The sequence below is a fragment of the Homo sapiens genome, chromosome 19 (genome assembly GCF_000001405.40).
Source record: "Homo sapiens chromosome 19, GRCh38.p14 Primary Assembly".
In the NCBI taxonomy this organism is placed as follows: Eukaryota; Metazoa; Chordata; class Mammalia; order Primates; family Hominidae; genus Homo; species Homo sapiens.
Window position 1 is genome coordinate 55250464 of NC_000019.10, and position 9968 is coordinate 55260431.

General features: G+C 57.0%; 1 protein-coding gene across 13 annotated transcripts in view, besides 16 other annotated features; it reads right to left on the minus strand.

Annotated features, from left to right (window-relative positions):
- PPP6R1 (protein phosphatase 6 regulatory subunit 1) overlaps nucleotides 1-8554 on the minus strand; it is a 30800-nt gene extending 22246 nt beyond the window's left edge. For 2 of the 13 annotated variants that reach the window (XM_047438423.1, NM_014931.4), the window contains exon 1: nucleotides 7972-8554. Coding sequence is in view for 1 of the 13 variants with exons in the window: in XM_047438420.1 (XP_047294376.1) it covers nucleotides 1631-1666; nucleotides 2963-2965 (39 nt within the window). In the remaining 12 variants the exon portion in view is untranslated. Of the gene's footprint in view, nucleotides 1-1630; nucleotides 1667-2962; nucleotides 3129-5211; nucleotides 5311-6487; nucleotides 6608-7149; nucleotides 7263-7971 lie in introns of those variants that run through there. The other 11 variants (XM_047438425.1, XM_047438427.1, XM_047438428.1 and 8 more) reach the window with 11 other exon arrangements.
- Nucleotides 1113-1262: an enhancer, noted in NCBI's record as "active region_15079". NCBI's record gives its function as "activates an Ori minimal core promoter by ATAC-STARR-seq in GM12878 lymphoblastoid cells {active_cell/tissue: GM12878}" and the evidence as "EXISTENCE:reporter gene assay evidence [ECO:0000049][PMID:35858748]".
- Nucleotides 3155-3234: an enhancer, noted in NCBI's record as "active region_15080". NCBI's record gives its function as "activates an Ori minimal core promoter by ATAC-STARR-seq in GM12878 lymphoblastoid cells {active_cell/tissue: GM12878}" and the evidence as "EXISTENCE:reporter gene assay evidence [ECO:0000049][PMID:35858748]".
- Nucleotides 3465-3684: an enhancer, noted in NCBI's record as "active region_15081". NCBI's record gives its function as "activates an Ori minimal core promoter by ATAC-STARR-seq in GM12878 lymphoblastoid cells {active_cell/tissue: GM12878}" and the evidence as "EXISTENCE:reporter gene assay evidence [ECO:0000049][PMID:35858748]".
- Nucleotides 3695-3804: an enhancer, noted in NCBI's record as "active region_15082". NCBI's record gives its function as "activates an Ori minimal core promoter by ATAC-STARR-seq in GM12878 lymphoblastoid cells {active_cell/tissue: GM12878}" and the evidence as "EXISTENCE:reporter gene assay evidence [ECO:0000049][PMID:35858748]".
- Nucleotides 4205-4344: an enhancer, noted in NCBI's record as "active region_15083". NCBI's record gives its function as "activates an Ori minimal core promoter by ATAC-STARR-seq in GM12878 lymphoblastoid cells {active_cell/tissue: GM12878}" and the evidence as "EXISTENCE:reporter gene assay evidence [ECO:0000049][PMID:35858748]".
- Nucleotides 4645-4694: an enhancer, noted in NCBI's record as "active region_15084". NCBI's record gives its function as "activates an Ori minimal core promoter by ATAC-STARR-seq in GM12878 lymphoblastoid cells {active_cell/tissue: GM12878}" and the evidence as "EXISTENCE:reporter gene assay evidence [ECO:0000049][PMID:35858748]".
- Nucleotides 6634-6827: a silencer, noted in NCBI's record as "fragment chr19:55768465-55768658 (GRCh37/hg19 assembly coordinates)". NCBI's record gives its function as "represses an EF-1alpha promoter that drives an FKBP-Casp9 reporter gene in an ReSE screen in phorbol 12-myristate 13-acetate-treated (for megakaryocytic differentiation) K562 erythroleukemia cells {active_cell/tissue: K562(+PMA)}" and the evidence as "EXISTENCE:reporter gene assay evidence [ECO:0000049][PMID:32094911]".
- Nucleotides 7802-8776: an enhancer, noted in NCBI's record as "H3K27ac-H3K4me1 hESC enhancer chr19:55769633-55770607 (GRCh37/hg19 assembly coordinates)". NCBI's record gives its function as "activates a minimal SCP1, AML or CMV promoter by ChIP-STARR-seq in primed H9 embryonic stem cells {active_cell/tissue: H9 hESC(primed)}" and the evidence as "EXISTENCE:reporter gene assay evidence [ECO:0000049][PMID:30033119]".
- Nucleotides 7802-8981: a biological region, named in NCBI's record as "Sharpr-MPRA regulatory region 13763".
- Nucleotides 8012-8071: a silencer, noted in NCBI's record as "silent region_11018". NCBI's record gives its function as "represses an Ori minimal core promoter by ATAC-STARR-seq in GM12878 lymphoblastoid cells {active_cell/tissue: GM12878}" and the evidence as "EXISTENCE:reporter gene assay evidence [ECO:0000049][PMID:35858748]".
- Nucleotides 8242-8341: a silencer, noted in NCBI's record as "silent region_11019". NCBI's record gives its function as "represses an Ori minimal core promoter by ATAC-STARR-seq in GM12878 lymphoblastoid cells {active_cell/tissue: GM12878}" and the evidence as "EXISTENCE:reporter gene assay evidence [ECO:0000049][PMID:35858748]".
- Nucleotides 8472-8751: a silencer, noted in NCBI's record as "silent region_11020". NCBI's record gives its function as "represses an Ori minimal core promoter by ATAC-STARR-seq in GM12878 lymphoblastoid cells {active_cell/tissue: GM12878}" and the evidence as "EXISTENCE:reporter gene assay evidence [ECO:0000049][PMID:35858748]".
- Nucleotides 8658-8952: a silencer, noted in NCBI's record as "tiled region #13763; HepG2 Repressive non-DNase unmatched - State 1:Tss, and K562 Repressive DNase unmatched - State 1:Tss". NCBI's record gives its function as "represses a minimal TATA promoter and a strong SV40 promoter by Sharpr-MPRA in HepG2 and K562 cells {active_cell/tissue: HepG2 | K562}" and the evidence as "EXISTENCE:reporter gene assay evidence [ECO:0000049][PMID:27701403]".
- Nucleotides 8782-8981: an enhancer, noted in NCBI's record as "active region_15085". NCBI's record gives its function as "activates an Ori minimal core promoter by ATAC-STARR-seq in GM12878 lymphoblastoid cells {active_cell/tissue: GM12878}" and the evidence as "EXISTENCE:reporter gene assay evidence [ECO:0000049][PMID:35858748]".
- Nucleotides 9012-9061: an enhancer, noted in NCBI's record as "active region_15086". NCBI's record gives its function as "activates an Ori minimal core promoter by ATAC-STARR-seq in GM12878 lymphoblastoid cells {active_cell/tissue: GM12878}" and the evidence as "EXISTENCE:reporter gene assay evidence [ECO:0000049][PMID:35858748]".
- Nucleotides 9142-9191: an enhancer, noted in NCBI's record as "active region_15087". NCBI's record gives its function as "activates an Ori minimal core promoter by ATAC-STARR-seq in GM12878 lymphoblastoid cells {active_cell/tissue: GM12878}" and the evidence as "EXISTENCE:reporter gene assay evidence [ECO:0000049][PMID:35858748]".

A 9968-nucleotide genomic window follows, 5' to 3' on the forward strand; every position in this document is an offset into this window, starting at 1 on the left:
CTGCCTGAGGGACTAGCCCTGGCCACAGTGACCCCGACTCTCACCTCAGGGAGGAGCCTGCCATTTCCAGGCCCACCCTGAAGGGACCTGTCTGGATGGTAAACTCCCTGTCCACCTTGTCCCCAGCTGCTAGTGCTTACTCAACAGACATCCCTGGATTCAGGATGGAGGGCTGTGGTCCTCAGGACCCTCCCAGCCCAGCTGTGACAGCACAGTTCGGCCAGAGGCCTGAGTTCTCCTCCAACCCAGCACCACCAGAAATCTAGGGACTTATCAGGCCTCCCACCCCGACCCAGGCACCGCTGACCTCCCCAAACATAACCATCCCACCCCTTCTGCCTGCATGACCACCACTTGACGGCAGGCCCCCCACACTCGACCGCAGGCGACCCCTGCTCGTTCCCTCTCCCCACAGCCATGCAGAGCTTGCTGAAGGGAAAATCAGAACCGCCCTCTCATCGGGTCAGCGCCTGGGACCCTCAATGACCTCCCACTCCCTACTTGCCCTGGCCAAGCTGGCCTTCTGTTTTCAGAACACACTAAGCTTGGGTCTACCCCAGCGACTTTGTCCTAATAACTCACTTTCTCATCCTCAGATCTCTTACTAAGCATTCACCTCACAGAAGGGCCTTCCCTGGCCTGCCTGGCTCAAGCAGCCCCCAGCCCCGCCTTTGTCCACCACTGTCTCCCTGTCTCCCTGAGCTGTGCGTTCTGACCTGCCGCCTGGAAGCATCTCTGTGACACAGCAATGAAGCACTGGAGGTACACACTCGTGGCCCTACAATGCTTCCTCTAGAACCTTCCCCCTAGGTTACCATGGGCACCTGAGGGCAGCACCTAGCATGGAACCTGGCCCTGGCAATAAACGCTCACAAGTATTAGCTGAAAAGCAAACCTCATTTTCACAAGGCCCCAGCTCCTCCCAGGCAGGAGGCTGCCGTACCTGTCAGGGCGTTAGACGAAGTGAAATCACTCCCACTCCGGCCCCTCCCAGCCACTCCTACGGGGTCCCTAAATCAGGAGGTGGGGGAAAGTGCAAGATCGCCCTGGGCAGGCAATGGGTGTGTATTTTCCCCTGTGTCAAGAGTGACGAAGGCACCACCACCTCACAAGGAAATACAACTGTTTCCCTTCCTTGCTCCGGGAACCTCTGTGTGCACAGTGGTAACTCCCCACCTCCCCACTTCTGCCCAGATGCTAGACCTCCTCAAGGGACCATCCCCTACTTCCCAGCCCGCTTGACAAGGAATGCGACAGGCCGACCACCAAGTGTCCATGTCACAGATGAGAAAACTCAGGCTCAGCAAAGGTGACTCACCAGCGTGCTGAGGGAAGCGGGAGGGGGAATGGATTTCCTGATCTGGGTGTACCTGGGACCAGAATAATCTCAAGGGGCAACCGCCAAATTTATCATGACTCTGCCAATTTCCGGCCTAAGGCTGTGGCGAGCAAAGCACCGAGACGTGGCAAGCACACACACACAGCCTCTTTCTCCGTGGGAGACCAAGCAGGCTGATAGGCTGCCCATGCCATGCCAGCAAAGCCAGTCCCAAGGAACCACACACTGCAGGCCTCCAACTATGTGAAGCATCCAGAACAGGCAAATCCATAGAGACAGAAAAGAGCTTACAGGCTTCCAGGAGCTGGCGGGGATTGGGCGAAGTTCCTGAAAGGAAAGGGTGATTAAAAAAAAGTTCCAAAATCAATTGTGGTGATGTTTCCACAACGTTGTGAATACACTAAGAACCACTGAATTGTACCCTTTATTTATTATTTTTTTTCTTGAGACAGAGTCTCTCTCTGTCACCCAGCCTGGAGTGCAGTGGCGCGATCTCGGCTCACCGCAACCTCCAGCTCCTGGGTTCAAGCATATCTCCTGCCTCAGCCTCCCGAGTAGTGGGGACTACAGGTGCGCACCACCATTCTTGGCTGATTTTTTTTTTTTTTTTTTTTGAGACAGAGTTTCGCTCTGTCACCCAGGCTGGAGTGCAGCGGCGCGATCTCGGCTCACTGCAATCTCCGCCTCCCGGTTTTAAGCAATTCTCCCACCTCAGCCTGAGTACCTGGGATTACAGGAGTGCGCCACCACACCCAGCTAATTTTTGTGTGTGTTTTTTTAGTAAAGACGGGGTTTCACCATATTGGCCAGGCTGGTCTCGAACTACTGACCTTGTGATCCGCCTGCCTGGGCCTCCCAAAGCACTGGGATTACAGGCATGAATCACCACGCCCGGCCTAATTTTTGCATTTTTTTAGTACAGACGGGGTTTCACCACGTTGGCCAGGCTGGTCTTGAATGCCTGACCTCAAGTGATCTGCCTGCCTCGGCCTCCCAAAGTGCTGGGCTTACAGGCGTGAGCCACTGCGCCTGGCTGTACACTCTAAATGGATGAACTGTACAGAATATCTCAATAAAAACTGTTGGGGGAAAAAAAAAAACCTGCCTCAGGCCATCGGCCATGGCAGGGACAGAGCCAGGGCCAGGCTCAGGCCTTGCACTATGTCCCAGCGTCCGCAGAGCTGATGAGATGCCGGCCAGCCTGGCAGAGCTGAAGCTGCCAAGGCTCAGCCCTGGGGCACTCACCCAGGTTACCCCTTCCCCATCCCTCACCACCAACAGCTCTAAGCTAAGTGAGCCCCTCCACAGTGGGGACGGGATAGGAGCAGCACCAAGCCAGCATCTGTAGAAAATCCATGGACCCGCACTTGCAGAGACACTTGTCTCGGCTCCACATCAAGACCAAGTAAAGAATTCTTATTATTCCGACAGAGTCTCATGTGGAAGAGGGGCCCAGAGGGGTGGAGCCACATGGCTAGCAAGAGGCTTCCAGTGTGCCCTGGTCTCTAAACAACAGGCAGAAATTCTCACACTGAGGCCCACCGTTCACTTCTAAGATACCTGATTAAAGGGCACAGGCATGGCCCTCGGCCCCCAAACCCCCTACCCCTGGTACAGACTAACCATCTGCTTCGGGGAAAAGGTCAGGCTTCCCCTCCAAACCGAGCTCCCCAGACAACTGGGGCAGGGGCAGCCAGAATGAGACGGGAGGGTGCTCGCTGGTGCACGGCATCCAAGAACTTCGGCCCTGAGAACCCAGGCAGCGCCCTGAACTCTCCATCTCAAGTGGCTCCTCTGAAAATCAGAATAGACTGAAAGGCTCAAATGCAATTGAGTGGTCGACACTCTACAGACCTCAATTATCAGGCTCTAAACAGAATGAAGATGCAAATATGGAAGAACAGAAAAAAAGAGAAAAAAACTTTCCCCCACCACAACCTCTGAATGCACTATGGCCTGAAGCCCTCTCAGTCCCCTCTCCCAACCTAATGAAGCCTGCTAGAATCCCTGCGAATGGAGCAGGAGAGTGGGTTTCACTCGCACTCTCCTGGTGAACCTGGGCAGGCGCTTGATTTCTCTGAGTCTCATTTCCTCATCCGTGAAAAGGAGACACAGCCCACCAGGGCGGGCTGCTGTGAAAAGGCATTGAGCTAAAGCAGGTGGCCGTGACACAGCAGGAGCTCAGCAGGTGCAAGTCTCTTCCGGTCCAACCCTGAGGCCACGTCCAGATGCTTTCTGGCAGGACAGGTAGGGGACCGGTCACTACCCCAAAGGTGATGGTGCTAAACACAGAGGAGCAGGAGAAAGACTCTACCCATTTGCCTAAGTGACTCAAGTACTTTTCCTCAGACCATTCGGATACTACGGCAGGCGCCATGCACCCCGCCACCCCCATTCTTTGCAACTTTTAGCAACTTCAAGAAAGCGGAAGTGACTACCACTAGTTTTTAGCTACCGTTTGAAAACCATGAGTCTGGCTGCAAACGGAAGAAGGGGAAATTGTAAATGAGAAAGGAAGCCATTAAAAACGAAAACTACCTCTGCCGCTCTCCCTCCACCAGCTCTGCACTATTGCCTCTGGTTTCTGACTTAGCTGTGGTGTTTTAGGGCCTTCAACACCAGCCACCCCTCAAGGGCCTGCCAGCCCCTTCCTTCCCCTGCTTGGACAGGCACTAACTGCGGCTCCCACAGAGCCATCCCCACTGCTGCACGTATCCGCCCAAGCACAGCTCTGCCGCCAGGGAACCGGTGGGCCCATGCTTCATCTGTCACCCCTTCCCAACCTGCGCTGACCCACGAGCACCCAGAAATGGAGGTCATGGGCACAGATGCCTCAGGGGGCCTCCAGAAACAGCTGCCTGAGCTGTCCCAATGCTCAGCAGAAGCTCCAACGCCTGGCCCCCTGGCCGGTACCCTAGGAAGGGAAAGAGCCTGCTACCAGCAGCAGGCTGGCCAGCACCCAGCTCCTTAAAGGGCCCAGAGTCCGGAGGACAGCAAGACCATCTCCCTCTAATGTCCCCCAAGCCTCTGTCAGCTCTCAGCCAAATCTGAAAGGGGGCTGGGAACACCCAATTCCAGGGATGCAGTGACAGTAATGGCAACCCCACCACCTCTGGGCAGGACCTACGGTGTGTGCCGGCTGCAGAATCCGGCATCACCCACCCAGCAAGGAGGAACCAGGGACACCAATTTGATAGAAAGGGCCACTGGGGCCAGAGGAGAAGGGGGAGCGGCCCAAGGCCCAACAAGATGATGAGCTAGGGCTTTCCTGTGGCTTGGGAAAGCCTTGGGGAGGGTCCCCACTTAAAGAGAACCCTCAGTGCCTCCCCCTCTGGCCCCAGAAGCACACCCTCCCAAGGGAGCTAGCAGCCCTGGTCCAACCCCAGAGGATGGAATAACTAGGAAACAGAAGAGTCTAGAAACACTGGCCAAGGACTGGGACGGGGACTTGAACATCCACATTCAAATCGTCTCCTGAACTGGCCACAGGTTTAAAGGAAAGAAAGGAAAAGACCAATGAACGGATTTGAAATAGCTCTTTGGAAAAACAGAAAGGGGCAGAGTTAGGGTTACAGTGTGATCCAAAGTCAGAAAAGCTTGCATTCCCATTTGACCTCCCCAAACTGAAATCTCTGTGGCCTAGACCAAGGATCTCACCCCACCGAGCCCCAGTTTCCTTATCCGGGAAATACCTCACAGATGGGGTTACTATAAGGCAGCACTCTCTGGAGAAGGACCCACAAAACTGGTGTGCAAAGGGAAAACCACGGTTTGGCATGGAAAGGCAGGTGAGCCCCATCAAGCCGGGTGCCGAGTGATTCCCACTCTGGCAAGGCCCCTCACTCTCACCAAAGCTCTCAGGCCTCTCTCACCTCATCTCTTGCTACCTCCCGCGTGGGCGTCACACCTGACTGCCCTCAGCCGGGGCTGGGCTGCTCCCTCCTCCTTCCCGGAGCTCTTCGAGTCTGACTAGCTCCTCCTGGGTCCTTCAGGCCCCCACACAGACACCACTTCCTCCAGGGAGCCTCCCCCCCGCATCTGTGTTAGAGGCCTGCTCCACGCCGCTTCCACAGCATCCCGCAGTCACCCTGGAACAGCATGTGAGCCTCGGCTCTGTGACAGGATGTACCTGTTCAGTCATCTGCCTCCCCCTGAAACATGCCGACTTCCCAGGATCTAGCATAAGGCCAGGCCCAACTAAAGCTACTTGTTGAATTAATGAAAACTGAAGCCAGAGAAAGGTGTTCTGTTAAGAGCACTGGGCCACACATCCCACAAAAGAAAAAAAATGGGCAGGGGGACCAGACAAGCAGGTTCTCCTCTAATGGAAAGAAACAGTAGATGAACCAACAAAAGCTAATGGCCACAAAGATGGTGGTGACTCGCAATACACAACTCACCAACTCACAGCTCATGAGTCACAACAGAGCAAATAAGCCACAACGACACACCATACCCCAGCAGTGGAGCAAAGTTCTCCTCCTCTGCGCTGCTAACATTTGGGCTGGACGGTTCTTTTCGGTGTTGGGGCTGCCCATGCACTGGAGGACACTTAGCAACATCCCTAGCCTCCACCTCCACTCACCAGATACTGGCAGCATTCCCCCCAGTTGTAACAACCAAAAACATCTCCAGATATCGCCAATCGTCCCCCAGGGGACACAATCGCCCCCAGTTGAGAGCCACTGCAATGGACATTCCCAAATCAAATAATAATCGAAAGAACGGCCAGGTGTGGTGGTCCATGCCTATAATCCCAGCTCTCTGGGAGGCTAGGTAGGAGGACTGCTTGAACCCACGAGTTTGAAATCAGCCTGGGCACCACAGCAGGGCACCAGAGCAAGACCCAGTCTTTACAAAAAATACAAACATTAGCCAAGCGTGGTACAAAAACACAAAAATTGAGCAAGCATTGCAGGACGTGCCTGTAGTCCTAGCTACTTAGGAGGCTAAGGTGGGAAAATCACTTGAGTCCAGGAGTTCAAGGCTGGGCAAACGAGCAAAACCCAGTCTCAAAATCATCAACATCAAAACAGCTACTGATTGCAGAGTGTCATGTGCCTTGCATTCTGCCACAGGCTTCTACAAACCCTGCACTTAATCCCTAGATCCACCCTCTGAGGAGAGCAGTCTGCTATCCCCACTTACAGACGAGGAACAACTTGTCCAAGGTCTCGCTTGGCAGAAGCCGGACTCGGCCTAGGTCTGTCTGGCAAAAGATCCTCTAACAATTAGCTGGACTGCCTTCTCATGATCCCAATCCCAGAACTAGAGTTAAAAAAAAAAAAAAAAAAAAAGCATAACATTTTCAACAGCACAAGCAGCTCCAACAGCCATCCCACCACTAGTAAGCACACGTGGCCGGGCGCCGTGTCTCCATGTGTGTTGTGCATGTATGTAAACCAAGTCCTCATCCTGTGTTATCCAGGCAATCTCGAGTCCTTGCTGCATTTGCAGCGCACGCTAACAGTTAGACCCTCGCCCTTGGGCTGGATGAAATCCCACTGCAGTTTCTCTACAACTGTGAACCCAGTACCGCACCTGACAGTCTACGCAGCTTCCTTTCCTGAAACATCTTGCCTTTCAGGCGGGTGTCTATGGTCATGTCTGTGTGTACTACGAGCGAGCAAGAAAGACCCCAACCAGAGGTCCCATTCGAGGCCTGGATAAGCACGCCGGGCGGAACTACTCTGCCCCTCACCCTCCCAATACATCTGCACTCAGGACTCCGACCTTCCTTCCTTGACATATCTGCACGTGCTGCTCCTTCCCCCCCCGGAAGGCCCTTCTTCCCACTCTCCATCTGTCACCTCCTACTCATCCTTCCTAGACAGAAAAAGCCGTCCGTCCAGTCAGTCTCACCAGTGCCTCCCGCTCTGTGGCCCCCTGCAGCTCCCTAAGTCACCTCGATCACGACACGCAGGAATTGTGACTGTCCGGCTCTGCCTTTGTACCCCCTCCAGGGACCGGCCCCACCTCCAGGGCAGGGCCTAGGGCTGATGCCCCCTCCTCGGTGCCCAGCGCCAGGCTCCCTGCCTGCCCTCAGCAGGCTTCATCTCACTGAAGCAGGCCCGAGTGGTGGCTGCTCCAGAGAAGCCCCGCTCCCAGGTCCCTCGCACAAGAAGCCGGAGGCGGGAGAGGGTCGGTCAAGGTGAAAACAAGCCCCGCTCCTCCAGTCCTGAGCTCCGGGGATCTAAGGAGGCTGCGCCACGGAAGAGGTGGCGGGGCAGAGATCGGGGCGAGAGGGAAGGGTGTAAGCAGGCAAAGTCCAGGGTAACCAGGGAGAAAGACTCCTGGGGGGCCGGGGAACCGGCCAGAGAGGCAAGAGAGCGGAGCTGAGGCTCAGGGACTGGGGAGCGCAGCTGCAGAGAGCGAGTGGGAAAAGGCCGAGAGCAAGAGACTGAGACTAGGGTGGCGGCGGAGCTGAGGTGAAGAGATTAAGAGACTGGGGAGGGTCGAGGGGGAAGAAACGGGGTGCCGTGGAGAGGAAACCCGAAGGAAGGAGGGAAAGGATCCGAAGCAGAAAAGACCCGCGGGGGTCCCGAGAGGGAAAAGCCTGAGGGGACGCGGAGAGGGGAAGACGTGGGCGCCTGGCCCTGGAGAGAGAGGGTCGGGCGACGCGGGCCGCTCACCTGCGAGGGGGGGCGGCGGCTCCTCGCACTCGGGGCTCATCGGGGCGCCCCCCCCCGCCCCGCCGCCGGCGGCTCCGGCCCCTGCTGCGGGGCCCGGTGAGTGGGGGCGGGGGCGGCGTCGGGGACTCGCGCAGGCGCCGGGGCTCGCGGGGTCCGCGCAGGCGCCCGCGGGTCGTGGGGTCCTCGCGCGCCGGGTCCTGCAGAGTTGAGGGGGTCAGCGCCGGGTGGAGTTGCCGACGGGCGGGGGGCGTCACTAGTCCGCGTAGGCACCTCCGGGGTCCGCAGGCGAGGTGGGCGTGCGGGCCGAGGCGGGTTGGCGAGCCGGGTCGCGAGGCCCACGCAGGCGCCTCAGCCGGGAAGACGGGGGAAGTTGCCCCGGTTTCCACAGTCCAACCGAGCGCCCCACGGGAGGGGAAGGCGACCTCCTCCGCGGTCCAAACGGGCCGCAGAGCCGAGCAGCGACCGACGGAAGCCGAGGCCTACTTCCTTAACCACCCCTTCCCCAAAGCCGCTCAATCTCCGGGCTCTGCGGCCGGCCTCAGGGCCTCCGACGCCCGGCTCCCTCCGCCACTATCCCACAATCCCCCTAGCGCAGGACGACGCAGGAGGCCCCGCCCTCCCGCGGCTGTGTTGGTGCGCAGGTGCGGGGGGCGGGGTGCACGCCTGGGCGGTGCAGTGCGCGTGCGCCCGGGCGCTCCCGACACCGCCCACTCTTGAACCCCGCCGCCGCAGACGCGCTTGCGCCCGTTGGTGCCAACGGTCTGCCCCGGAATAAACCCAGACAGCTCAGTGAGCCGCAGCTGCGCACCGGCTCCGTTCCAAGGCCCCGTGAATATTCCGCTCCAGGATTTCCCTTCCCACTCGCTCCGTTTGGAAATCCGTTCGCTGTTCTGTCTCCTCTAATCATAGTGGAGCTTTGGCTCCAGGGTCGGGCTCTTGCGAAATCCAGACCTGGTTTTCGCTCCAGCCAAAGCCAGGCGCCTTCGTTCCGTCCGGCTCTCGCGCTTAGCCGCCTCCGAGCCTCAGAGGCCCTCAGTCGTTTCCGTCTGCTGGCGATAGTCCCGGCCGGGTCGCTGGTGTTGCCAGTTCCGCCCAAAGCAGCTTCTAATAGCATCAACTGAAAGAGACCTCCTAGACCTTGTGTCTAGATTGATGAAGGTCCCTCTGGCTTTGAGCCTCGGTTTCCCCAACTTTAATAGCTCCCCTCTCTACCCATGTTAGAGGCCTACTGTAAAAATCGTGTGGGCGCGAGGAACTTTTTTGTTTTTGTTTTTGTTTTAAGACTCCGAATTGGCCGGGCGCGGTGGCTTACGCTTGTAATCACAACACTTTAGGAGGCCCGAGGCCGGAGGATGGCATGAGACCAGGAGTTGGAGACCAGCCTGGGCAACCTAGGGAGACCCCCGTCTCTACAAAAGAAAATTTAAAAAATTAGTTGGGCCTGGTGGCCCGCGCCTGTGGTCTCAGCTATTCGGGAGGCTAAGGCAGGAGAATCGCTTGAGCCGAGGCTGCAGTGAGCCGGATTGCACCACTGCACTCCATCCTAGGAGACAGAGCGAGAACCTGTCTCAAAAACAAAGGGCCCAGCGTGGTGGCTCACGCCTGCCTGTACTTGAGCTCAGGAGTTCAAGACCCCACGCCTATAATCCCAGCACTTTGGGAGGCCGAGGTGGGCGGATTGCCTGAGCTCAGGAGTTTGAGACCAGCCTGGGCAACACAGTGAAACCACGTGTCTACTAAAATACAAAAAATAGCCGGACGTGGCGGTGTGCGCCTGTAATCCCAGCTACTCAGGAGGCTGAGGCAGGAGAATTACTTGAACCCGGGAGGTGGATGTTGCAGTGAGCCCAGATCAGGCCACTGCACTCCAGCCTGGGTGACAGAGCGAGACTCCGTCTCGAGAAAAAAAAAAAAAAAAAAAAAGAGCAAATTCACCCCTCCTTTGCCCTCTTTGTTCTATTGAGACCCTCAATGGATTGGATAATGCCAGCTCACAC